Below are 26602 nucleotides of genomic sequence, written 5' to 3'. Positions count from 1 at the left end.
CAACTGTTTGAGCACTGATATATTGAATTTAGCTGCTTGTATCTTATATTGATAGTTTATAGATTTTTACCAATCCCCGTCATAATGTTTACCACTGTTTCTTTCAGCCTCTCTGTGCAATAAGTTAACAGGTCCCTAGTATGATATTTTTATAGGCGTCTGGAACCATCCCAGCTCCTTAGGCTTGCTTTTAGGATTCAGAGCCAAGAGTCACTACCAGAGTGCATTTTACAGGCCCACCCAACATAGCAGTCCACACTTCCCTGAATAGCAGCTGAGATAGGAAAAACTGCTTTGTGGAGTGTCCCTTTGGCCCCTGTCACCTTTGTATTTAGTCATTAATCAGTCAACTAGCAATTTTCTCTCAAAAAAAAAAAATGTTGCTCATCCTGTTCCCCATAGCATCATGCTAAACGTTACATGTATATATTTGAGGAAGTATGTGTCTTCAAGGTACATGTCACTATTTTAATGTCTGGGCTGATAATGGTTAGAGCAAGCAAGATATTAGCAAAATGCCTGAGACATTAATTTGATACCAATTCAAACCATCAAGCAACACTGAGAAAAGCTTTGCTTCTCTATTGTTATATAAATGAGCCAACGATAGCTTCTGTATTTTGGCCCCTAGGTTGTTTATTTCTTCACAGCAGGCTGGGGCTGGGTCTCATTAGCTCAAAAGCCTACCAGTGCCAAACCCAAATTTTGACACATCTAGTTGTTTTAAACATAGCCCCCAAATAAGCAGATTTTTAGCTATTTAGAGCTTGCCTGCTTTGCATAGCCTGTAAAACTGCAGCCAAAATCTGCTAGCCATAGTATAAGTAGGACAAGATATACCCTGGGGCCATACAGACCCCAGGCTGATGCTGGCCTTTAGAGCTCTCTGACCCAGAGATTCCTGCCACTGGCTGTTGAGTGACATCACCTAGACTCCTTCTCTGATCCTTCTTTCCCAGAGTTTACTTGCTGTCTTCCCCTTACTCACCTACCCCTCTGGAAGGTCTCATGCTATTTGGGACTTCTCCCAGGTGCAAACCTGTCAAAGTGTCCAAATAAAGCCACCTCACAGCCATATCTTTTTTCTTGGTCAGCCCTGAAATCCTTCCAACCCCTACAGCCACCACAGCCAGCCAGCCAGCCCCACCTCCCTCTACCCCTAAGCCTATCTCAACCAGTTTCTCACACATAGATCCAATTTCCTAAACCTGGAGATCAATAATTGCATGTCTGTACTACCATCCACATATGCCTTTTGACCGAGTCATAGGGTCCTCATCACATACGGAGGAATGTGTATTTTAAAGATGAGGAAACCTGTACCCAGGAGGAACAAAAGGTTTGCACACAAGTCAAATCTGAAACATCCTTCATTGTATTCAGTCCTTGCCTTCCCTTTAAAGTGCCTTTTTCAACTGAAAGAGGAGTAGGTAAATGCCAGTAAGCTGCAGGTTTTCTGTCCCTGCATAGAATGATTAGCAGAGAGTGTGATGGTTCCAGAGAAAACATACAAAAGCTAAATTAGGAGGTGGGAGACAGTCACAGAAATGTTCCAGATCTCACTAGCTCTCATGGTCTGTTTCCAGTAATGGTCCAATATTTCTTGTCCTTTTTGTTTCCTCATGGCAGTGTGTCCCAGGCTATCAGGGTGTCAACTGTGAGTATGAAGTGGATGAGTGCCAGAATCAGCCCTGCCAGAATGGAGGCACCTGTATTGACCTTGTGAACCATTTCAAGTGCTCTTGCCCACCAGGCACTCGGGGTATGAAATCATCCTTATCCATTTTCCATCCAGGGCATTGTCTTAAGTTATAAATCCATTCTTAGTGTTCAGGGGATTTTATAAAATTAAAGATAGGAAGACTAGCTTCATTCCAAGCATTTAGTTCTACATCCTAGTAATTCAAGCCATTTTATTCTCCCATCTCTTGCTAGCTCTGATGTTGTGGTTTATGTTGTCAGTTTTATCTGGTTGTTTGGCATCTTGATATTCCATGAAACACAGAATATGGAAGGGATACAACATTAGCATAACATTAAAAAATTAGCCTGGTCAGTAAGATTTCTTGTTGCTTCACAGAAAAGCAACTAATGGCCTCTAAAATAAACAATTTACATTTACCTGCTTTTGTATTTTTTTAATTAGCCAAGTCTTACCTCTATAAGGTGGGGGAATGAATGAAATGAAAATATCTGCCTATTTTCATAGCTTCAGGGGAGGATACTGATGGTGTAAGGTTCTACCTTAGGATGCAGTAAGGCCTGATGAGAGATGCAACCCTGGACTGTTGAGTGATGGGGCCATCATTCTTCTGTGGGCATTGCCACTGCTTTTGAACTGAGTGGTATGGCCATCATTCTGCTGTGGACATTGACACTGCTTTTGAACCATCCCTTGGAAAGAGCTTTGAGTATTGTTTGTTAGAAGGGATGTAGTTATGCTGGGGCCTACTCTGAGAAGGCTGTGAAAAAAATGTAAAAGGCCATCCACACTGGTGAGAAATTCATCCTTGTTAGTGTCAAAGAGAATAGAATGCCAGAGAAGTATTTGTATTGCCTTAGAGCTTTGTGTCAGTAAAGTTTGATAATTTGCCACCCCAGGTATCAGAGTTTGACTAAATTAAAATAGGAGAGTACCCTAGTAGTAGGCTGATTATTAAGGAATGAGGTTAATGGGAAGAAGAAAACTAAGGAGAAACAGTCTTTAAGTATTTGAAGAATTGTCCTGTAAAAAGGAGAATTGTTCTTTATTCTAGAAATCAGTGGTTGAGTAGAAATTAATTCCAGTTCATTGTTAGTTTGTTCCTTTGAGAAACTGTACTGGTTAGGACAAGCTACGATTCTGGTGATAGCTGTTATCGTAGTTCATTTATGTTGCTATAAAAGAATACCTGAGACTAAGTAATTTATTTTTCGAAAGAGGTATATTTGGCTCGCAGTTCTATAGGCTGTACAGGAAGCACGGTGCCAGCATCTGCCTCTGGTGTGAGCGTCAGGCTGTTTCCACTCATGGTGAAAAGTGAAGAAGATCCAGGGACCCAAACACCTCCCATTAGGCCCCACCTCCAACATTGGAGATCACATTTTAACATGTGGTTTGGTGCAGTCAAACTTCAAGCTATAGCAGCTAATTAAACCTCAAATCTCAGAGCTTAATATAACACTGATTTTGTCACTCAAATAAAGTCGAATATGTGTTGGGCTACCTTTCTCTGTGTTTTAGATATGTGGTTTGAAACACCTGGCCTCCAAGGCCTCCACAGTACAGGGAAGAGGGACAGACTTGAAGGGTCATACAGCAGCTTCCACTAGCTCAGTCTGGAAGCAACACATATCACTATCCCTCGCAGTATATTGACCGGAATTATTAAATGGTCTCTGTGACTTCAAGGGAGGCTGGGAAATATAGGAGAGTACATGAGTATTCATCAAACTCTAAAATCACTACTATACCATGAACTTTTAATTAATAAGACATGTCCAGTCCTAGAATGGATCATTTCAGAAGGAAACAAAATTTTTGTCTCTTCTAACCATATGGTAAAGATGGCTTAGAATACTAGTTTTGATATTATCATTGACAGTCTTTTTCTTTCAGCACTTTGAATATATCATCCCACTGCTTTCTGATATCCATGGTTTTTAATGAGAAATATGCTGTTAATCTTATTGAGGTTCCCTTATATGTGATACATTGCTTCTTTCTTGATGCCTTCAAGATTCTTTATCTTTTGATAGTTTGATTATGATGTATGTAGGTATGAATTTCTTTGAGTTTATCCTACTTACAGTTCCTTGGATTATTTTACTGTGTGTGCTTGTTTAGGTATGTGGAACAGTATTTTTTTATCCTGACTTAACTTCTCTGGCCATTGGTAAACATTCCAGGAAACTCTCAAGTCCCATAACCCCATTGTTAGAGTCATCACAATGTGTGTTTTGGTCACCATATTTCTAAGCCTTAGATCTTTGCCTGCATGTCCCACCAGTTTCCCAGGTCAAGGGCTAAATGTAACAGTTCTGCCTCTTCCTACTACTTTGCTTCAGGCTGAGGTTGAGTTCTCTCTCAGTTGATAGATCTGTTTATTTCTGGTGGTTCCATTCTGATGGGGAAATATGCATTTATGCTCATTTTACTAGCAATCCCTAAATATCAAATATTCTTTGAGACAGGGAGCATATACTAGATTTTGTTTGTTTTTACTTTTTTGTTTTCAATTTACTCTATGTATAAGGTGATATATGCATATATGCATATAGACCAAAAGTGTATTCACACATAGAAAAGTATACAGTGAAAATACTTCTCATTCCCATCTCTCTTCTGGTGGGCAAATTTTCCCTCTCCTGCAAACATGTAATCGCCACTTTTGGTTGTTTGTGTTTCTTTCTAGAATTTTTCAAAAACTGTATCCTTCAGAATTTCTTTATGTAGAGAGAAGCCAAATGCAAAGATATTTTATTTCCTTTACTTTTTACTCTGAAGATAGAATATTAGACACATTTTTTGCACTTGATTTTTTTTTACTTAATTGGAGATATTTTCATATCAAAATATAGAACTTCCTCTCTCTCTCTCTGAGATAGATAGATAGATAGATAGATAGATAGATAGATAGATAGATATTTGTTTGTTTGTTTGTTTTGAGATGGAGTTTTGCTCTTGTTGCCCAGGCTGGAGTGCAATGGTATGATCTCAGCTCACCGCAACCTCCGCCTCCTGGGTTCGAGTGATTTTCCTGCCTCAGCGCCCTGAGTAGCTGGGATTACAGGCATGTGCCACCATGCCTGGCTGATTTTGTATTTTTAATAGAGACAGGGTTTCTCCATGTTGGTCAGGCTGGTCTTGAACTCCTGGCCTCAAGCAATCCACCCGCCTCAGCCTCCCAAAGTGCTGGGATGACAGGCGTGAGCCACCACACCCAGCCTGAACTTCCTCAATATTTTTTATAGCTACAGAATTCCCTTTTACAGGCATACCATATTTTAACCAGTGCCATCATGATAGATATTTCAGTTATCTTGCAGGCATATAAGTATATTGGTGAAATAAATTTTCAGAAATAGAATCGCTGGATTGGATAATATGTGCATTTATCATTTTAATCAGTGATTGCAGTATATCAGCATATTGGCTTTTTCTTAAGGTGGAGAATATATTTTCATTTAAGAATCATTTTCTTTTGATTTTTTTTGCAGTTTCTTTGTTTATATATATATATATGTATATATACATATATATATATATACACACATATATCTTTTTTCCCACATTAAGTTGTTGATGTAATGTTTTGTGGAAATTGGCTATGATATAAAAAAACAAATATATTCCCAGTATTTTTTTATCTTTTTTCTTTATAGTGATTTTTAGTGCACACTTTTACTTTTTAATCAAGTTGAATTTATCACTTTTAAAATGGCTTCTGGATTTTGAGTTGTAGTTAGCAACATCATATACACTTGAAGATCGTAAAGAAATTCTCCCATATTTTCTTCAAGTACTTTTGCCATATGACTACTCATTTGTTAATACACAATTTATTGAATATTTTGTTTTTTATATATATAATGATTTGAGATGGCACCTTTGCCAGATTCTAAATTCCCATGTGTATTTTTGGTGTTCTTCTGGATTTTCTTTATTTTCTGTGTTATTCTATTAATTCACCAATAACGTTCTATTTCAATTATTAAGGATCTTCTTCTTCATAGTTTTCCTGGTTATTTTTTTTCACATAATTTTATAATCAGCTTGTCTGTTAATAAATTCCTGTTGATAATTTTTAGTGGGGTCTCATTAAATTTATGAATTATAGTATAGAGAAAACTGATAACTTTATGATGAGGAGTCTTGCTAACCAAATCCTGGTATGTCTTTCCATTTATTCAAGTCTCTTTTGTGTCTGTTAGGACAGTATTAAAGTTGTCTTCATTTAGGTGTAACACATTTCTTGTGAAGATTGTTCCTAGGTATTTTATCTTTGGTAATTTGGTAATTGCTTTTGAAAATTGGGCCTTACTTTACATTTAAAAAAAAAAATCTTGCTTTTGTTAGTGTATGCTACAATGCAAGTGGCAGGAATACATACAGAACTGTTTTCTTTTGTACCTTTTTTTTTTTTTTTTTTAAGACAGAGTCTTGCTCTGTTGCCCAGGCTGGAGTGCAGTAGCGCAATCTCGGCTTACTGCAAGCTCCACCTCCCAGGTTCATGCCATTCTCCTGCCTCAGCCTCCCGAGTAGCTGGGACTACAAGCGCCCGCCACCATGCCTGGCTAATTTTTTTTTTGTATTTTTTAGTGGAGACGGGGTTTCACCATGTTAGCCAGGATGGTCTCGATCTCCTGACCTCGTGATCCACCTGCCTTGGCCTCCCAGAGTGCTGGGATTACAGGCTTGAGCCACTGCACCCAGCCTGTACCTTTTTTTTTAATTATGATTATTATTATTTTTTGAGACAGAGTCTTGCTCTGTTGCCCAGGCTGGAGTGCAGTGGCATAACCTCGGCTCACTGCAAGCTTCATCTCCCGGTTTCAAGTGATTCTCCTGCCTCAGCCTCCCAAGTAGCTGAGATTACAGACATGTACCACCACACGCAGCTAATTTTTGTATATTTAGTAGAGATGGGGTTTCACTGTGTTGGGCAGATTGGTCTTGAACTCCTGACCTCAAGTGATCCGCCTGCCTTAGCCTCCCAAAGTGCTGGGATTACAGGTGTGAGCCACTGTGCCCAGCCTCTTTTGTGCCTTTTTGAATTAATCATAGAATAATTTCTAGAATAGTCATTGATTTCTTTTGTTTCTTTGTAAGACACTATATGCAGATATTCATACTAGATGGCTCATTTACATCTATAGTACAATAAATTAGTCCTGTTTTAAATGGAATAACTTTTGAACTCTCAGCAGGAAATTTATCCTCTATTTTTGTTAAATAAAAAGCATTGGTGCACTTATACACTATTACAGAAAAAAGCCAGTGATTATAAAACTTAAAAATGTATTTCATTCAAAATTCAGTTCCAGTTGTTACCAATATTTTTACATAACCTATGTATAGTCATGGGTCACTTAACAGTGGGGATATGTTCTGAGAAATATGCCCTTAGGCAATTTCATTGTTGTACAATCATCATGGAGTGTAATTACACAAACAGAGAGAGTATGGCTTACTACACACCTAGGCTCCAAACCTGCACCTTGTTTTACTGAACTGAATATTGTAGGCAATTATAACACAATGGTAAGTATTTATGTGTCTGAACATATTTAAGAAGAGGTACAGTAGAAGATTTAAAAGGTACAGTAAAAATACAATATAAAAGATAAAAAATAGTACACCTGTATAGGGCATTTACTATGAAAGGAGCTTGCAAGACTGGAACTTGCTGGGTGAGTCAGTGAATGGTAAGTGAATGTGAAGGCCTAGGACATTACTGTACACTACTGCAGACTTTGTAAATACTGTACACCTAAGCTACACTGAATTTATTTAAAAAGTAATTGTGCTATGACATTACAAGGCTATGATGTTACTAGGCAACAGGAATTTGTCAGCTTCAGCTTCATTATGGGACCACTGTCGTATGTGCTGCCTGCATTGACTAAAATGTCATTATGCGGTTGCATAACTGTATTTATTGTTATGTTCTTTTTTGGACTGTTTTTATATTTTGGATTATACTTTGGAAAAATTACTGAGCCTCTCTTGAGCTCCAGTTTCCTTCTCTTTGAGATGGGACAAATAATAGGACCTACACCATAGGGTGCTACTTCACTGGATTGTGTGGGAGAGTACATGCGGAGCCCTAGTATGTTCTTTCCTTTACTTGTACAACTCACCAGGATGACAGCTGTCATGAATAAAGAGTGTGCTTTGCCCTGCCCAACTACAAGGTCCCACTACCAGTTGAGGAGTATACTCTGATTCATTGTGAAAATGCCAACAAGGGTGGTTATCCCTTGCTGGAAAGCAGGTTAAAAGGATTTTCATAATTCTGTACCTCTTCTCTTTCCTCCAGGCCTACTCTGTGAAGAGAACATTGATGACTGTGCCCGGGGTCCCCATTGCCTTAATGGTGGTCAGTGCATGGATAGGATTGGAGGCTACAGTTGTCGCTGCTTGCCTGGCTTTGCTGGGGAGCGTTGTGAGGGAGACATCAACGAGTGCCTCTCCAACCCCTGCAGCTCTGAGGGCAGCCTGGACTGTATACAGCTCACCAATGACTACCTGTGTGTTTGCCGTAGTGCCTTTACTGGTGAGAAGCTCTCTAGCCTCCTGGCCACTCTGCCTTGGAGGATGGTTTTAGTGAACAAATTGGGCCCTGTGAGTTGTCCCAGACCCAAGTGAAGCTTTTCTTATATAAGAAAAACAACAGCAGCTTAATTTTTTAAAGCCAGTTTTTTCTTAGTCTGTACTTTATGGATGTTATGATCAGTGTCTACCTTTAATTTTTCCTAAGAGATTCTTTTGTTGTGCATTGATTATATCATGCTATGGCAGGAATATTTTTTACAATGTATATTGAAAGTAGTTGAACAAAATAACATTTTTTAATAGTGGCAAAATATCCAAAACCTAAAATTTACTATCTGAATCATTTTAAAGTGTACAGTGTACAGTTCAGTGGCATTGTTTAGTACATTGACATTGTTGTTCTACTATCACCCCCATTCATTCACAGAACTCTTTTCATCTGAACAAAATAACATTTTGTTTTAAGGAACCTTACGTCTAACTCCGGTTTCTTCACCCTGCCTCCTTTGACATGTGATGGCTTGAATTACTGGGTAGTTCCTGCCACCATGATCTTTCCACCCCTAGGACTCAGAGAAGCTTAGGACCCTGCTTAGATACTTAAAGGGGGCAGGTCCAAATTCAAGTGTGTTTAACCAAAGATCAGTTGATGTGGGTATGAAATGAAAAGTTGCAGTGGTCACAAGTAATGCCTTGCCCAGTAAAGGCTTGGCCATGTTCCTACTCTGTTCCCAAGCTTCTTTCTTTCATCACAGGGCCTGAAGATGACCAAGCTCTGCCTCAGAATAGGGGTCTTATCACAAGAACTTACTAGTTACTTCTGGAGAGGGCAGCATGGTGACTTTTGGGAACTAAAATAGTTGTTTGTATCCAGATGTGGCAGGATACTCAGATTTGAAATTTATCATGCATTTCCTGGGGTCTGTAGTTGTATTTCTTATATGGAGGGTGTGATCAGATTCCTTAGGAGTCAGAAAATAGGCTTTAATAGTCTGTTTACAAACAATTCATCAAGCTGAACTCTGCTACATCCTGAGCCCATCTCCAGCCATCTTTCCTTCCAACTTTAAAGATATGCTACCTTACAATCTTGGAATTTTGTAAAGAATGGGAGGGATTCTGCAATATGGAAGCTCCCTGGATACACTAACATCAAAAAAGAAATAGTCCATTGTGAACATAATAGCTATTGAGGCAATGTGGAACAGAATAAGTATGAATAATCTGTCTACAGCCTCGTATTGGCCAAACTGCACTTTGAAAGCCAAAGCATCAAAACTGGCTCCTGTTTCTTTCATTGCCCCTGAGGCTTTTTTCTCTGGAAACACAAGCATTTGCAAAGTAAGGGGGAAGCAGGAGAAGGAAGGAATGGAGACCACTTTGAAGTAGTATCCCACAGCCAGGAAGTAGTGTTTGTGCATTTTCCACATTTGTGAATGAAAAAAAAAAAATCCCTTGAATACATTGAGCACAGTTATTGTGGGATGCTGTTGCAGAGATAAACAGCAAGGGACTGGTGGTCCACCAAGCTGTGTCCATGTGGTGGCTGCTCTTGGTTAGCGGCTGCTGCTGTGATTTGAAGAGACAAACATTTATACCTCTTGCTGCTTGATCTCGTTGGCCAAAAACATTACTATTTTTATTTCATTTTTAAAGCTACCTCTTCTTTCCCAAGTGACCACCGGCCAAATGGGGCCTATCTCCTGCTGTTGGCCAGGAGTCCCAGCTGTGCCCTGCGTCTCCTCTGTGGTTCCAGTTGCCTCGTTCTTTATCTTGGAGCAGTGGCCCCCAGGGGCCTTCCGTTTTAGAACTATTCCTAGAGGAAACTAACTCTAGGAAAATTAAGCTGTGTTTTAAGGAATACGAGTTAGGTTACAGAAAGGCCAAAAAGTGATTGAAATGAGGTATCACAGATGAAAATTCTCTATACCGCAAATCACCATTTAAATGTATTGGCCTGGTGTAGCCTCTCCTATGAAGTAGATAACATTAACAAAATGCAGTGAATAGTTTTTCAACTGTTTTTTTGCAACTTATGAAAGCTAAAATGACTTCAAAAAGCTGAAGTGTGATTTCTCTTTTTTTGATGGGATTTAAGTCACTTTTCTCACCCACCCTGTTGTGTGAGTTGGTACTTACTGTGTAGGCAAGACAGAGTAAGGGACTGGCCTGAGCTGGTGACAGGCCAATCATGTTGAGATGCAGTGAGTGTTTTCTTTCTATGCTCAGATTACCACAGGCCTAGAACTGAACTCTCTCACACTTGCTTCACCTATGGCTAGTTCCCATCCCAGCAAAGTTTGTTGAGTAACTTGCAGTGACTACTTCTGCCTTTTAAAACCTTTTTTATTTTTTATTTTCTGAGGCCGGCACTGTGAAACCTTCGTCGATGTGTGTCCCCAGATGCCCTGCCTGAATGGAGGGACTTGTGCTGTGGCCAGTAACATGCCTGATGGTTTCATTTGCCGTTGTCCCCCGGTAAGTGCCCTGTTGCTCATCTAAGAAGGGGCATTGTCTCTTCCATACAATCTGTGAACAGAACTGAGATTAAACCTGGTTTTACCAATCTTCGAAATGGGAAGATTTCTCAATTTTAGCTCTTTCAGAGGAAAGTGCTTGGGTTTTTCCATTTAAAGCTGTTTACAAGTGACAAAACAAAACAAAAACAAATAAAAGCTGTTTAGACACTCCCAGAAACAGTGAGCTTCCCAATCCATGACTGTCAGTCTTAAGAAAAACTAAGGGAAAACCACAAAAAGTGGTGGAGTGCCCCCTTGAAAATAGGGCTGATGTGTGGGGCTTCTTGGCCCCAGGCTGGAGGGTAATCTCACTGCCCAGATTGGGCCAGAGTTGGTGGAAATGCTGCTCTTACATTCTTTAGCAGGAACCATTTGGAAGCAAGTTGTCTCTTAAAGTAGAGGGAAGCTCAATTTTAGCTATTTGCTATACCCATTCTTTTATCACTGCCAGAGGTTGAAACCTTCCCAAAACAAGAGATCCCTATGCCTCGGGAGATACCAAAAGGAAACCTGTCTAGTAACCTTGGCTTGGGCTGAACGGGAAGTACAGAAGGGAGTGAGATGTGGAGGTTTTCTAGAAACCTCAAACTTCCAATATGACTGTTTTCCTACCAATGCCATTTTTATTTCCTCACTGATTTCCACAGGGATTTTCCGGGGCAAGGTGCCAGAGCAGCTGTGGACAAGTGAAATGTAGGAAGGGGGAGCAGTGTGTGCACACCGCCTCTGGACCCCGCTGCTTCTGCCCCAGTCCCCGGGACTGCGAGTCAGGCTGTGCCAGTAGCCCCTGCCAGCACGGGGGCAGCTGCCACCCTCAGCGCCAGCCTCCTTATTACTCCTGCCAGTGTGCCCCACCATTCTCGGGTAGCCGCTGTGAACTCTACACGGCACCCCCCAGCACCCCTCCTGCCACCTGTCTGAGCCAGTATTGTGCCGACAAAGCTCGGGATGGCGTCTGTGATGAGGCCTGCAACAGCCATGCCTGCCAGTGGGATGGGGGTGACTGTTCTCTCACCATGGAGAACCCCTGGGCCAACTGCTCCTCCCCACTTCCCTGCTGGGATTATATCAACAACCAGTGTGATGAGCTGTGCAACACGGTCGAGTGCCTGTTTGACAACTTTGAATGCCAGGGGAACAGCAAGACATGCAAGTAAGGGCTTCACGTTTTCCAGAACTGAAGGGGACTGTCACTAACACACTTCAGTTTCTCGTTCTTGCTCCTAACCACTCCAGTGCTTCAGCCTAAGCTGCCTCTGCTTTTCAGATGGTGCCAGCCTTGTCCCATCGCACACTGCCCTGTGCTCTCCCTTGCTGACAATGGGCCAGGAATGCTCATTGCATAATGACCCTCTCTCTCTGCCTATCTTTGCCTTCTCACCTGCTGCCTTCGTGACCTCCTGGGGGATATAACTTTTGGAAGTGGTGTTTCCCACTTCAAGCAGCCTCTCACATAACCTGCCTGCAGGATGGATGGAAAGGTCTGTATCTCTCTCTTCACCCCATTCCTTTCCCTAAGACTGTTTTTCCCCATCTAGATTTATCAGGAAGCATGAATTAGATTAAGTCTGTGAACCCTCCCGGTCTTAATTGTATAGGATGCTCTATGGTTTACTTAGGAACTTTCCTATTAACTAGCCATTCCATATAATTTAATCCCAATTAATTCTCAGCAACTCACGAGGCATAGGTATTACTAACATTCTTTCATAGGTGAGAGAACTTAGGCCCAAGGGTTAAAGAACTTGCCAAAGCAAGTTGTTTCTTTGACTCCTAATCTTCTGATTGAGCTAGCATGAAAAGTTGTACCAAATAGTATAAATATCAAGGGGTAGGGGATGAGGAGAGGAGAGTATAGATGGAATAGTTTGTACATCATTTAGGTTTGGGGGTTCTAATTCCTTTTCCAAATATTGAAAGAGCCTGTACAAGTAATATCTGGTGTGCTATAAGGACATACCCATCTGCCTTTACCTTCTGTAGTTGGGATTCACTCTTGAAAGGGAAAGAAATGGGTCATGTTAATATTGTTCTCTGTATGGCAACTCTCAATGGTTCAGGGCCTTGTATCAAGTTTCTAGAGGCATCTTTCACTTCCTAAAGCCCGTTGTTACCTTACTGGGGGCAATGGATTTCTCTAAAGTAGAGGAAGCATGAACCAGGTTGACTTTTGTTTCAGATATGCAGCTTTGTTTGAAAACCTGACTTAACAGGCTTGTAAACTGCCTGGGAGCCCCTAAGCTCCTGCAGCATAGTGAGTACAATGTTCTTCATTTAGGAAGTACTCAACAAGGATGAGTGGCATAGGCATCAGGGATAGGAGATGCAAAGAAGGTTTTGTGGGGCATTTGGGTCCTGGGTGTGGGCCACAGAAAATGGGTAGGAAAATCCACAGTAGTTCCAAATGAAAAAGCAAATAGAGCTCCAGTCTAATCTGAGCTCTTTTGCCTGTTCTCTGCTTCCCCTTACCTAGGTATGACAAATACTGTGCAGACCACTTCAAAGACAACCACTGTGACCAGGGGTGCAACAGTGAGGAGTGTGGTTGGGATGGGCTGGACTGTGCTGCTGACCAACCTGAGAACCTGGCAGAAGGTACCCTGGTTATTGTGGTATTGATGCCACCTGAACAACTGCTCCAGGATGCTCGCAGCTTCTTGCGGGCACTGGGTACCCTGCTCCACACCAACCTGCGCATTAAGCGGGACTCCCAGGGGGAACTCATGGTGTACCCCTATTATGGTGAGAAGTCAGCTGCTATGAAGAAACAGAGGATGACACGCAGATCCCTTCCTGGTGAACAAGAACAGGAGGTGGCTGGGTAGGTGTTTGGTTTCTGAACTTCAAGGCTAATTTTATGAAGCCTAGCACTTTGACATATAGCACAAGTCATAACTCAACCTATAGAAATGCAAAGATCAGAAAAATAGAATGGCCCACCACTTAAGATAAACCCGTTACCCCAGTACTTACGTTTAAATGTAAAGATATGCCTTCGTCTTGGCTGAAAAGTGGGCAGGGGTACACAGGAGGCAGAATGTCTGGAAGGCCTCCTCAGATGCCAGAATCCATAACCTTTTGCCAGAGTTGCCTCAAATCCCTTTATTAGTGACATTCCTTTTTACATTAATCATTGCCTTATTGTTAAGGCCCTTCTTTAGAATATATGTCTCTTTGACACAGGTAATGATCTTCAGTTGCTCTGTCATTCACACCTCACTCTTTGTTGGTATATTGTCAAACTTTCAACCCTCCAGCTAGCTGAGATACCAATGCAGAGACAAAGGAAAATAAGGACTAAAAACACACAGGGATGTATGTTTAGAGTAGCACCAAGTACCACTGAGTAGGTATGAAAGAGTGGAAGAAGACCACTGAAACCTTCGGGAGGAAAGCACAGCTTCTCACTTTGTCATGCATTGCCTCAGCCAGAAGGCTTTGGTCAGCCAGACTAAGGAAGGTGGGACATCCTCTATGTGGGAATTAGTGTTTAAGATCTCAAGGGACAGTATTCTAATTCCTGAGATATGTCTTAAGGCAGCATCCCAGAGGTGGGGACCTGATGCTGAAGGGGAGGAAGGGAGGCTCCTGTCACCCTTTATGACATGTTCTGCCTGACCTGCACTCTTCTGTTTTACCCCCATCTCTCCTCCTCCGCTTCTCCCTTGGCATCCCACAGCTCTAAAGTCTTTCTGGAAATTGACAACCGCCAGTGTGTTCAAGACTCAGACCACTGCTTCAAGAACACGGATGCAGCAGCAGCTCTCCTGGCCTCTCACGCCATACAGGGGACCCTGTCATACCCTCTTGTGTCTGTCGTCAGTGAGTGGCACTGGTGTAAAGGGGAAAGGTGGCGGGGGAAGAGTGTCAATTGGGGGAACAATTTTCATTATGTAGCCCTCTATTTTTTCAGGACTGTTGAGGTCAAAGTTGCCCTCTAAATGAATCTAATGCTGACATTGAGAGGTTAATGTTTTATTCAGCACTTTCCCTGTCTCTGTGGACTTTCAGGTGAATCCCTGACTCCAGAACGCACTCAGCTCCTCTATCTCCTTGCTGTTGCTGTTGTCATCATTCTGTTTATTATTCTGCTGGGGGTAATCATGGCAAAACGAAAGCGTAAGCATGGCTCTCTCTGGCTGCCTGAAGGTTTCACTCTTCGCCGAGATGCAAGCAATCACAAGCGTCGTGAGCCAGTGGGACAGGATGCTGTGGGGCTGAAGTAAGAGGCATTGCCAATAAGCCACTATTCACAGTATAAGTAGGGATGACTAGAAAAGCATATCTTGTTGAATCATGATTTTAAATTCTAAGCTCTGGGCATTTACTCACATTGACCATGATTCTAAATGCCTTGTGAGTGACTGAAACCACAGTCAGAGCGTGGGTGCATCTATTCTGTGTATATTATCACAATGCCGCCCAGCTTCTGTGTTGAGGTGCCCTTTTGTTGTAAGCTCACGATCAATGGGAAGGGAAAGGATGAATGCCAAGGGAATGTCACCAAAAATACTGCCCATCTTCTCTGGGCCAAGACCCTGCAAAATTGTAATATAGCCACGGGAGTGTGTCATGGTGGAAAGTGTTGAAAACCACTGTATTAGTTTATGACTGCCATTCTTATTTTTTCTTTTTATAATCATATTAGAAATCTCTCAGTGCAAGTCTCAGAAGCTAACCTAATTGGTACTGGAACAAGTGAACACTGGGTCGATGATGAAGGGCCCCAGCCAAAGAAAGTAAAGGTGAGGTGGCCATGGTAGAACCACCATTGTCAGCCATTATCTGGTTACATTTCAAATTTCTGTCCTTTAGCTCCAGAGTGTCCTGAATGGGAGTAAAGAGTGATAGTCTTGATGTCTTACCCAGACAATAACTATCCTAGGTTCTCCTAAACAGCAGGAATCCTTAGGACGTAAATGACCTTGGGTTACCTATATATGCTCTTCAAGAATAACTCTTTAAAAATACTAAGCACATCTGTTTCCTTTAGTGTTATGCTGGCAGTAGTCAAGTCAGGAATGGTGTGTGTAGATGGCAATTCCTTCATGGCCACATCTCTTCCTTATCCTTTATGGGCACTTCTTCTATAAGAGAAGATGAAATTAAGCAGTGGAAGAAAGCCAGTTATCATTGACATTGGCAAAATGAAAGCCAGTGATCATGGCAAAACGTTGACATTGGAGGCTCCATACCTTGAGCCCAGGAAACTAAAGCCATATAAAAGCAAGTGGTAGATTGGGCTGAGACTGACATGAAAAAGCAGACCATCCATCCACAGCTGTGCATGGCTGGGAGCTGGTGGAGCATGATGGTTAAGAAGATTGCTTTAGTTAATATCAGAACTGGATTCAAATCCAAAACTCTGCCGCTTAGTAGCTGGCAAGTTACTTAACCTCTTTGTAATTATCCTTCCTTGTAAAATGCGGATAATAATAACCCTTTCCTCTGTGAGTTGTTGTGTTGGCATATGTGCCTTATCTACTTTCCTGTCATGTACTAGGTATTCAGTAAAGGGTAGCTGCTTTTAAATTATCATGATTATTATTATTGAATAGTCTTTCCTGAGTGCTTACTACATGTTGGGTGCTATGTTGAGTACAAGGAAACAACCTTGAACAAGGCTTATTTTCCCTTCTTGAGAAGCTTACAGCCTTGTGGTGGAGATGGCCATGTAGTGCTGTGTAAGCATTTAACACATGATCAGTTAAGCAGAGGTAAGCAGAGTATGCTTTTTAGGGCCAACAAGAAGAATTAAAGTTTACTTTCTAGTGGAGGGTAGGAAAAGTGAGAATTGGGTGCTCTGGAGATCTAAAGGCTAAAGCCTAGAGTTTGGGATTGGGGGAGGGAGTTGTCTAGATGATGCAGGAAAGGTAAGCAGGAGCCACATCACGAGAGCAGTGGGAAGCCAAGGCTGAGGTAATCCTCTGGAGGGGTGGAGGAGTAGGAAGAGAGAAAACAATGGGAGATAAGCAGCGGTGGTGGAGGCTCTGGACACCTTCTGATTAGCAGTTTCTGGTGGTGGCCAGATTGATAGGGAGCATTGTTTTCACCTTTCAGGCTGAAGATGAGGCCTTACTCTCAGAAGAAGATGACCCCATTGATCGACGGCCATGGACACAGCAGCACCTTGAAGCTGCAGACATCCGTAGGACACCATCGCTGGCTCTCACCCCTCCTCAGGCAGAGCAGGAGGTGGATGTGTTAGATGTGAATGTCCGTGGCCCAGGTCAGCACCGGGCCTCTTCCCCTCTTCACTGGGCTGTGTCTGCCCATGGTTCCACATTGTTGTCCCTGTGTTTGCCCTGTCCAGTCATAAACCCCTTCCCAATTTCACAGACTCTAAATCAGCTCGAGGAAATGAATGCTTAAGGAATGTAGCCACAAAGAAATTATCAGCTCAGAAAGGGAAGGATTTCACATTGCTTCATGTACAGTGTGTTGAGACTAAACAGGCTGATAAAATGGGTTAGATTGTAGTGGGATAGAAAAATAATATCCCAAAGCAGAGGATAGTTAGTATCTTATGCATGTATTAATTGTTCTATTAATATTAGATATTTTTAAATGTCCAATTAAAATAACAGCACTTAAACTTGAACAGAAAAACGTGTTTAGAGAAGAGCCCCCAGCTTAAAAAGACTTGTACTTTCCCATTATTCTTTACAGAAATGATACTATCAGAGGAAAAGGTGGCAAATGTGAAACTAATAACCAGTTACTACAAGAAGTACAGGGAATTCTTTGCCCCTAAGAATAACTTTAGTCAAATAGAGCTGTTTCAACCATAGGGTTAACTACCTTCTCCTTCTTGAGTACTTTATGGAATTTTCCATTCCTACAGATGGCTGCACCCCATTGATGTTGGCTTCTCTCCGAGGAGGCAGCTCAGATTTGAGTGATGAAGATGAAGATGCAGAGGACTCTTCTGCTAACATCATCACAGACTTGGTCTACCAGGGTGCCAGCCTCCAGGCCCAGACAGACCGGACTGGTGAGATGGCCCTGCACCTTGCAGCCCGCTACTCACGGGCTGATGCTGCCAAGCGTCTCCTGGATGCAGGTGCAGATGCCAATGCCCAGGACAACATGGGCCGCTGTCCACTCCATGCTGCAGTGGCAGCTGATGCCCAAGGTGTCTTCCAGGTAAAGAACATGAGAAGAGTCACTTGAATAATAATTCCTATGGCTCTATAATGTTTTATCGTTTTTAAAGAATTAATATCTCATTGAATTTATTCAATCATTTGAGAGATTAGGGCAGGTATTAGAGTCATGCTTGGTAGATGGGAAAGTGGGAAAAGGGAGGCAGGCAAATTGACCTAGCTATATATAGGAAGATAGTGATAGAGCCAACTGCAGACAACACCAGTCTTTCTGATTATTAGTGATAATTTGTTGTGCCAAGATGCCTCCCAAATGCGTAGATTAGATGAGAGTGATAGCTGGTCCGGAGCCTTTGACTAGTATCCGCTACTTCTTATGGATTGGCCTGACTGTATGGGCTTCTAGCTGCTCATTGGCAGTTTTCTTGACCTGAGTTCATATTATATTCCCTGATGCCTGTTTATCCTTATGAGGAAATTGGAAGCATTCTGAATCACCTTAGGCTGTATCCTGACTGAAGTTGTGATATTTCCCCACATCCCTCTTCTTTCCTGAGAAAGTAGAAGGCTCATCACTTTACATCAGCCATTATTTATTGAGCATGTATTTATTTATTCATGCAACAAATATTTATTGATTGATCATGATAGAATCTTGGGCACAAAGATAACAAGACTTTCCCTCTCCTCCAGGAATCTACACTGTAGCCTCAGCTCTGATGCCCTTGTTTCTTCACTGAGTTTCATTATTTTCCTTCATCCAGGTGACTCTCTTTTCTGTACTTTCTCCTCTTCTAGATTCTGATTCGCAACCGAGTAACTGATCTAGATGCCAGGATGAATGATGGTACTACACCCCTGATCCTGGCTGCCCGCCTGGCTGTGGAGGGAATGGTGGCAGAACTGATCAACTGCCAAGCGGATGTGAATGCAGTGGATGACCATGGTAGGGATGAAAGGCAGGGATTTGGATTCTTACCTGCAAAGCATGCCTCTGACGAGGGGAATAGAGTTACGTGACCCTTAGAGAACTGCCTGAGATCCAAATACGTGAGAGATTCACTCATTCTTTCATTCATGCATTTATTTAACATGCTGAGCTCAGAGATCCAAGCCAGTAGGAGATCCCTAATTAAAATGAGGGATTTTTAATGAGGGTTCTTGGACCTCAGAGCAGATACATGAAAGGTGTTCCCATGTAGTTTCCTAGGCATAACACTTGATTTGAGGATTTATGAGAGCTGACTTCTCTAGGAGAGTTGTAGAATATTCTCAATATAAATTCTGACATGTAATATATAGGTTTTTATCTTCAGTATGTAACAGGGTAGATTCTGCCATGTAGGGGACATGAATGCCTCATACAAGTGATCCTTTCACCTAGAGGTCTTCTGCAGGCTAGGCAGCCTGTACTGAAGTATTTCTAGAACAGAGGAAAAAGAAGAGATTACTTTGGTTTTTCCTATAGACCCCTACAGAGAACTGCTTCCTGCTGATCTCTGGGGAGTTTAAGATTTCATTGTGCAAGTCATAGTGTCTTATACTAAGAGTAGGATATGTCTGTTTATAAAAATGTTTCTCCCCTGCAGGAAAATCTGCTCTTCACTGGGCAGCTGCTGTCAATAATGTGGAGGCAACTCTTTTGTTGTTGAAAAATGGGGCCAACCGAGACATGCAGGACAACAAGGTACAGTTTGTGGGCTCTGAGCTTGAGGAGGCTCATAGCAGTGCCTCAGTTATAAGCCCATTCCCGTTTCTCCTTACAGCTTCTCTTGTTATATGTATAGACAAAGATGGAAGCAGTTTGGGCAGACACTGGGTTTCGAGAGCTTGATGAGGATATTGGGCTTGTCCAGGCATGTGTCAGGATGGAGTTCTCTGCCCTCTCAGTACTCAGCTTGCAGTAGGCTGGCTATAGATAGCTTGGTGTAACTCTTTCTCTTCCCTGACATTTCCTTTTCTCCAGTTGTCTCTTCTGTTCATAATCACTTCTTTTTCTCGTTTTCTTTCTTTTTTCCCTCCGGCTGCTTTTTTTTCTGTCCTTGGATACCCTGATGTTTTCCTGTTTGATTTTTCTCCATCTGAGTTTTTTGTCCTGCTTCCTTCTCTCATTCATCTTCTCTCAGTTTTCTTTGTTTTCCTTATCTTAGTCCTTTCTTGCACATGTTTTGTCTCTTCTTTCACTGTTTCCCTTACTTTTCCCAGTTCTGTGCATGCCTTAGTTTTTTCTCTTCCTACCTTTCTTATTTCTAACTCCTTTTCCTATTATTTCTTATTTCTAACTCCTATTCCTACCTTTCTTATTTCTAACTCCTTTTCCTTAACCTTATTTTGATAAGCTCAGTACTCTTTTAAGTGAGTCTCTGGCTCAGGGGCATGCTTTATTTTATGAATTCCCAACTAAAGAGATGTTCCCCCTAAGGGGCAAAATTGTTTTTTTGAGGAGAGGTGAAATAATCTTACTTTTTTTATGTGTAAATCACAGATACACATTCAGTACATTGGTAGAGGCACAGCCTATCTGTGGTGTTAATATTTCATCGGGGAGATAATTAGGAAAACATGTCTAAGGGGGTGATAATAAAAAAGATTGAGAAAAACTGCTATATTCTCAAGAGTGTTATTAACATGTGTTCTGTGATGGGCCTTTTCTGTAGGAAGAGACACCTCTGTTTCTTGCTGCCCGGGAGGGGAGCTATGAAGCAGCCAAGATCCTGTTAGACCATTTTGCCAATCGAGACATCACAGACCATATGGATCGTCTTCCCCGGGATGTGGCTCGGGATCGCATGCACCATGACATTGTGCGCCTTCTGGATGAATACAATGTGACCCCAAGCCCTCCAGGCACCGTGTTGACTTCTGCTCTCTCACCTGTCATCTGTGGGCCCAACAGATCTTTCCTCAGCCTGAAGCACACCCCAATGGGCAAGAAGTCTAGACGGCCCAGTGCCAAGAGTACCATGCCTACTAGCCTCCCTAACCTTGCCAAGGAGGCAAAGGATGCCAAGGGTAGTAGGAGGAAGAAGTCTCTGAGTGAGAAGGTCCAACTGTCTGAGAGTTCAGTAACTTTATCCCCTGTTGATTCCCTAGAATCTCCTCACACGTATGTTTCCGACACCACATCCTCTCCAATGATTACATCCCCTGGGATCTTACAGGCCTCACCCAACCCTATGTTGGCCACTGCCGCCCCTCCTGCCCCAGTCCATGCCCAGCATGCACTATCTTTTTCTAACCTTCATGAAATGCAGCCTTTGGCACATGGGGCCAGCACTGTGCTTCCCTCAGTGAGCCAGTTGCTATCCCACCACCACATTGTGTCTCCAGGCAGTGGCAGTGCTGGAAGCTTGAGTAGGCTCCATCCAGTCCCAGTCCCAGCAGATTGGATGAACCGCATGGAGGTGAATGAGACCCAGTACAATGAGATGTTTGGTATGGTCCTGGCTCCAGCTGAGGGCACCCATCCTGGCATAGCTCCCCAGAGCAGGCCACCTGAAGGGAAGCACATAACCACCCCTCGGGAGCCCTTGCCCCCCATTGTGACTTTCCAGCTCATCCCTAAAGGCAGTATTGCCCAACCAGCGGGGGCTCCCCAGCCTCAGTCCACCTGCCCTCCAGCTGTTGCGGGCCCCCTGCCCACCATGTACCAGATTCCAGAAATGGCCCGTTTGCCCAGTGTGGCTTTCCCCACTGCCATGATGCCCCAGCAGGACGGGCAGGTAGCTCAGACCATTCTCCCAGCCTATCATCCTTTCCCAGCCTCTGTGGGCAAGTACCCCACACCCCCTTCACAGCACAGTTATGCTTCCTCAAATGCTGCTGAGCGAACACCCAGTCACAGTGGTCACCTCCAGGGTGAGCATCCCTACCTGACACCATCCCCAGAGTCTCCTGACCAGTGGTCAAGTTCATCACCCCACTCTGCTTCTGACTGGTCAGATGTGACCACCAGCCCTACCCCTGGGGGTGCTGGAGGAGGTCAGCGGGGACCTGGGACACACATGTCTGAGCCACCACACAACAACATGCAGGTTTATGCGTGAGAGAGTCCACCTCCAGTGTAGAGACATAACTGACTTTTGTAAATGCTGCTGAGGAACAAATGAAGGTCATCCGGGAGAGAAATGAAGAAATCTCTGGAGCCAGCTTCTAGAGGTAGGAAAGAGAAGATGTTCTTATTCAGATAATGCAAGAGAAGCAATTCGTCAGTTTCACTGGGTATCTGCAAGGCTTATTGATTATTCTAATCTAATAAGACAAGTTTGTGGAAATGCAAGATGAATACAAGCCTTGGGTCCATGTTTACTCTCTTCTATTTGGAGAATAAGATGGATGCTTATTGAAGCCCAGACATTCTTGCAGCTTGGACTGCATTTTAAGCCCTGCAGGCTTCTGCCATATCCATGAGAAGATTCTACACTAGCGTCCTGTTGGGAATTATGCCCTGGAATTCTGCCTGAATTGACCTACGCATCTCCTCCTCCTTGGACATTCTTTTGTCTTCATTTGGTGCTTTTGGTTTTGCACCTCTCCGTGATTGTAGCCCTACCAGCATGTTATAGGGCAAGACCTTTGTGCTTTTGATCATTCTGGCCCATGAAAGCAACTTTGGTCTCCTTTCCCCTCCTGTCTTCCCGGTATCCCTTGGAGTCTCACAAGGTTTACTTTGGTATGGTTCTCAGCACAAACCTTTCAAGTATGTTGTTTCTTTGGAAAATGGACATACTGTATTGTGTTCTCCTGCATATATCATTCCTGGAGAGAGAAGGGGAGAAGAATACTTTTCTTCAACAAATTTTGGGGGCAGGAGATCCCTTCAAGAGGCTGCACCTTAATTTTTCTTGTCTGTGTGCAGGTCTTCATATAAACTTTACCAGGAAGAAGGGTGTGAGTTTGTTGTTTTTCTGTGTATGGGCCTGGTCAGTGTAAAGTTTTATCCTTGATAGTCTAGTTACTATGACCCTCCCCACTTTTTTAAAACCAGAAAAAGGTTTGGAATGTTGGAATGACCAAGAGACAAGTTAACTCGTGCAAGAGCCAGTTACCCACCCACAGGTCCCCCTACTTCCTGCCAAGCATTCCATTGACTGCCTGTATGGAACACATTTGTCCCAGATCTGAGCATTCTAGGCCTGTTTCACTCACTCACCCAGCATATGAAACTAGTCTTAACTGTTGAGCCTTTCCTTTCATATCCACAGAAGACACTGTCTCAAATGTTGTACCCTTGCCATTTAGGACTGAACTTTCCTTAGCCCAAGGGACCCAGTGACAGTTGTCTTCCGTTTGTCAGATGATCAGTCTCTACTGATTATCTTGCTGCTTAAAGGCCTGCTCACCAATCTTTCTTTCACACCGTGTGGTCCGTGTTACTGGTATACCCAGTATGTTCTCACTGAAGACATGGACTTTATATGTTCAAGTGCAGGAATTGGAAAGTTGGACTTGTTTTCTATGATCCAAAACAGCCCTATAAGAAGGTTGGAAAAGGAGGAACTATATAGCAGCCTTTGCTATTTTCTGCTACCATTTCTTTTCCTCTGAAGCGGCCATGACATTCCCTTTGGCAACTAACGTAGAAACTCAACAGAACATTTTCCTTTCCTAGAGTCACCTTTTAGATGATAATGGACAACTATAGACTTGCTCATTGTTCAGACTGATTGCCCCTCACCTGAATCCACTCTCTGTATTCATGCTCTTGGCAATTTCTTTGACTTTCTTTTAAGGGCAGAAGCATTTTAGTTAATTGTAGATAAAGAATAGTTTTCTTCCTCTTCTCCTTGGGCCAGTTAATAATTGGTCCATGGCTACACTGCAACTTCCGTCCAGTGCTGTGATGCCCATGACACCTGCAAAATAAGTTCTGCCTGGGCATTTTGTAGATATTAACAGGTGAATTCCCGACTCTTTTGGTTTGAATGACAGTTCTCATTCCTTCTATGGCTGCAAGTATGCATCAGTGCTTCCCACTTACCTGATTTGTCTGTCGGTGGCCCCATATGGAAACCCTGCGTGTCTGTTGGCATAATAGTTTACAAATGGTTTTTTCAGTCCTATCCAAATTTATTGAACCAACAAAAATAATTACTTCTGCCCTGAGATAAGCAGATTAAGTTTGTTCATTCTCTGCTTTATTCTCTCCATGTGGCAACATTCTGTCAGCCTCTTTCATAGTGTGCAAACATTTTATCATTCTAAATGGTGACTCTCTGCCCTTGGACCCATTTATTATTCACAGATGGGGAGAACCTATCTGCATGGACCTCTGTGGACCACAGCGTACCTGCCCCTTTCTGCCCTCCTGCTCCAGCCCCACTTCTGAAAGTATCAGCTACTGATCCAGCCACTGGATATTTTATATCCTCCCTTTTCCTTAAGCACAATGTCAGACCAAATTGCTTGTTTCTTTTTCTTGGACTACTTTAATTTGGATCCTTTGGGTTTGGAGAAAGGGAATGTGAAAGCTGTCATTACAGACAACAGGTTTCAGTGATGAGGAGGACAACACTGCCTTTCAAACTTTTTACTGATCTCTTAGATTTTAAGAACTCTTGAATTGTGTGGTATCTAATAAAAGGGAAGGTAAGATGGATAATCACTTTCTCATTTGGGTTCTGAATTGGAGACTCAGTTTTTATGAGACACATCTTTTATGCCATGTATAGATCCTCCCCTGCTATTTTTGGTTTATTTTTATTGTTATAAATGCTTTCTTTCTTTGACTCCTCTTCTGCCTGCCTTTGGGGATAGGTTTTTTTGTTTGTTTATTTGCTTCCTCTGTTTTGTTTTAAGCATCATTTTCTTATGTGAGGTGGGGAAGGGAAAGGTATGAGGGAAAGAGAGTCTGAGAATTAAAATATTTTAGTATAAGCAATTGGCTGTGATGCTCAAATCCATTGCATCCTCTTATTGAATTTGCCAATTTGTAATTTTTGCATAATAAAGAACCAAAGGTGTAATGTTTTGTTGAGAGGTGGTTTAGGGATTTTGGCCCTAACCAATACATTGAATGTATGATGACTATTTGGGAGGACACATTTATGTACCCAGAGGCCCCCACTAATAAGTGGTACTATGGTTACTTCCTTGTGTACATTTCTCTTAAAAGTGATATTATATCTGTTTGTATGAGAAACCCAGTAACCAATAAAATGACCGCATATTCCTGACTAAACGTAGTAAGGAAAATGCACACTTTGTTTTTACTTTTCCGTTTCATTCTAAAGGTAGTTAAGATGAAATTTATATGAAAGCATTTTTATCACAAAATAAAAAAGGTTTGCCAAGCTCAGTGGTGTTGTATTTTTTATTTTCCAATACTGCATCCATGGCCTGGCAGTGTTACCTCATGATGTCATAATTTGCTGAGAGAGCAAATTTTCTTTTCTTTCTGAATCCCACAAAGCCTAGCACCAAACTTCTTTTTTTCTTCCTTTAATTAGATCATAAATAAATGATCCTGGGGAAAAAGCATCTGTCAAATAGGAAACATCACAAAACTGAGCACTCTTCTGTGCACTAGCCATAGCTGGTGACAAACAGATGGTTGCTCAGGGACAAGGTGCCTTCCAATGGAAATGCGAAGTAGTTGCTATAGCAAGAATTGGGAACTGGGATATAAGTCATAATATTAATTATGCTGTTATGTAAATGATTGGTTTGTAACATTCCTTAAGTGAAATTTGTGTAGAACTTAATATACAGGATTATAAAATAATATTTTGTGTATAAATTTGTTATAAGTTCACATTCATACATTTATTTATAAAGTCAGTGAGATATTTGAACATGAATACTTGATGTTGTTAATATGTATGGCATTAGCAGTCTCATATTGACCCTAGCATCTTATTTCCATTTTCCATTATTTTGCAGAAACTTATCAGTCACACATGCATAGTTATAAATGGTAACAGTTTTTTTTTTAATGACTTGAAATCTTAGGATATGCTTCTGCTAAGCAGATAAAGGAGCCTTGTTCAAGATCTGCACAGTTAAGGTTTTAACGTAATTTAGCATTAATTGGTTATGTTCAGAATGTTTTAATTTTATATAAAACATTTTAGTCTTCATATTGGGTTTTATAATGGTGGAAGAATAAAATGAATTTGAGAGCTAAGGAATGATCACCTGTGCAGGCCGGCCACTCAGAGCTCAAGTTGCCACTTGCAAACTATTTGGGAACTAAATTGCTCCATGAAAACCTGCTTCAGTGGATCCAGGTTGCAGGCCATTGGGTGGCTGACCACATCCTGCCCCTGCAATTTTAAGTCTTGAATGCTAGCCTTTGATTATGCAGGGAGGACTCGGGGCACTCCCAGACGTGAAAGCCAAAAAAGGAGAGTAGGGCCGAAGCCAAGTGCCACCCCATCACAAAGCTGGAGCAGTAGGCTTGGACACTAGACCATGAGCATGCCAGGAGAGGGGCTAGTGCCTCAGTCATGCAACTAAAAAGCTTCACGACCCAAGGAGAGGGGCTGCTTCCTTTATCAGAACAACCTCCTTAATGCCCACATGTTTTTCAGGATGTGGGCAGTGGGGGAACTGCGAGCCTGTTAATTGCCTCTGCCACTACGTCTTTCAGCCACAGGGTATATGAAGTTGTGTGTGTGTTGTGTGTGTGAAAGAATACAACTTTTCCTTCTTTTGCCTTAGCACTTAGCAAAACACATTTAAAATATTTGTACCAGTCAAGTCCCATCCACAAAGTGTGG

The 26602-nt window shown here is 42.2% G+C and overlaps 1 protein-coding gene across 2 annotated transcripts in view, besides 1 other annotated feature; it reads left to right on the top strand.

Moving 5' to 3' along the window:
- Window positions 1-25681, top strand: part of NOTCH2 (notch receptor 2) — a 158110-nt gene extending 132429 nt beyond the window's left edge. The window contains exons 22-34 of one of the 2 annotated variants that reach the window (NM_024408.4): window positions 1630-1762; window positions 8022-8258; window positions 10623-10735; window positions 11424-11929; window positions 13250-13597; window positions 14456-14598; window positions 14788-14998; window positions 15425-15521; window positions 16837-17005; window positions 17621-17922; window positions 18681-18828; window positions 19472-19569; window positions 20540-25681. In NM_024408.4, the coding sequence (NP_077719.2) occupies window positions 1630-1762; window positions 8022-8258; window positions 10623-10735; window positions 11424-11929; window positions 13250-13597; window positions 14456-14598; window positions 14788-14998; window positions 15425-15521; window positions 16837-17005; window positions 17621-17922; window positions 18681-18828; window positions 19472-19569; window positions 20540-21928 (3894 nt within the window). In that variant the 3' untranslated portion in view covers window positions 21929-25681. Of the gene's footprint in view, window positions 1-1629; window positions 2122-8021; window positions 8259-10622; window positions 10736-11423; window positions 11930-13249; window positions 13598-14455; window positions 14599-14787; window positions 14999-15424; window positions 15522-16836; window positions 17006-17620; window positions 17923-18680; window positions 18829-19471; window positions 19570-20539 lie in introns of those variants that run through there. The other variant, NM_001200001.2, reaches the window with a different exon arrangement.
- Window positions 269-994: an enhancer, noted in NCBI's record as "OCT4-NANOG hESC enhancer chr1:120478863-120479588 (GRCh37/hg19 assembly coordinates)". NCBI's record gives its function as "activates a minimal SCP1, AML or CMV promoter by ChIP-STARR-seq in naive H9 embryonic stem cells {active_cell/tissue: H9 hESC(naive)}" and the evidence as "EXISTENCE:reporter gene assay evidence [ECO:0000049][PMID:30033119]".

This window comes from Homo sapiens, chromosome 1 (assembly GCF_000001405.40).
Source record: "Homo sapiens chromosome 1, GRCh38.p14 Primary Assembly".
Classification (NCBI taxonomy): domain Eukaryota; kingdom Metazoa; phylum Chordata; class Mammalia; order Primates; family Hominidae; genus Homo; species Homo sapiens.
This window is presented reverse-complemented; position numbering and strand designations above follow the sequence as displayed.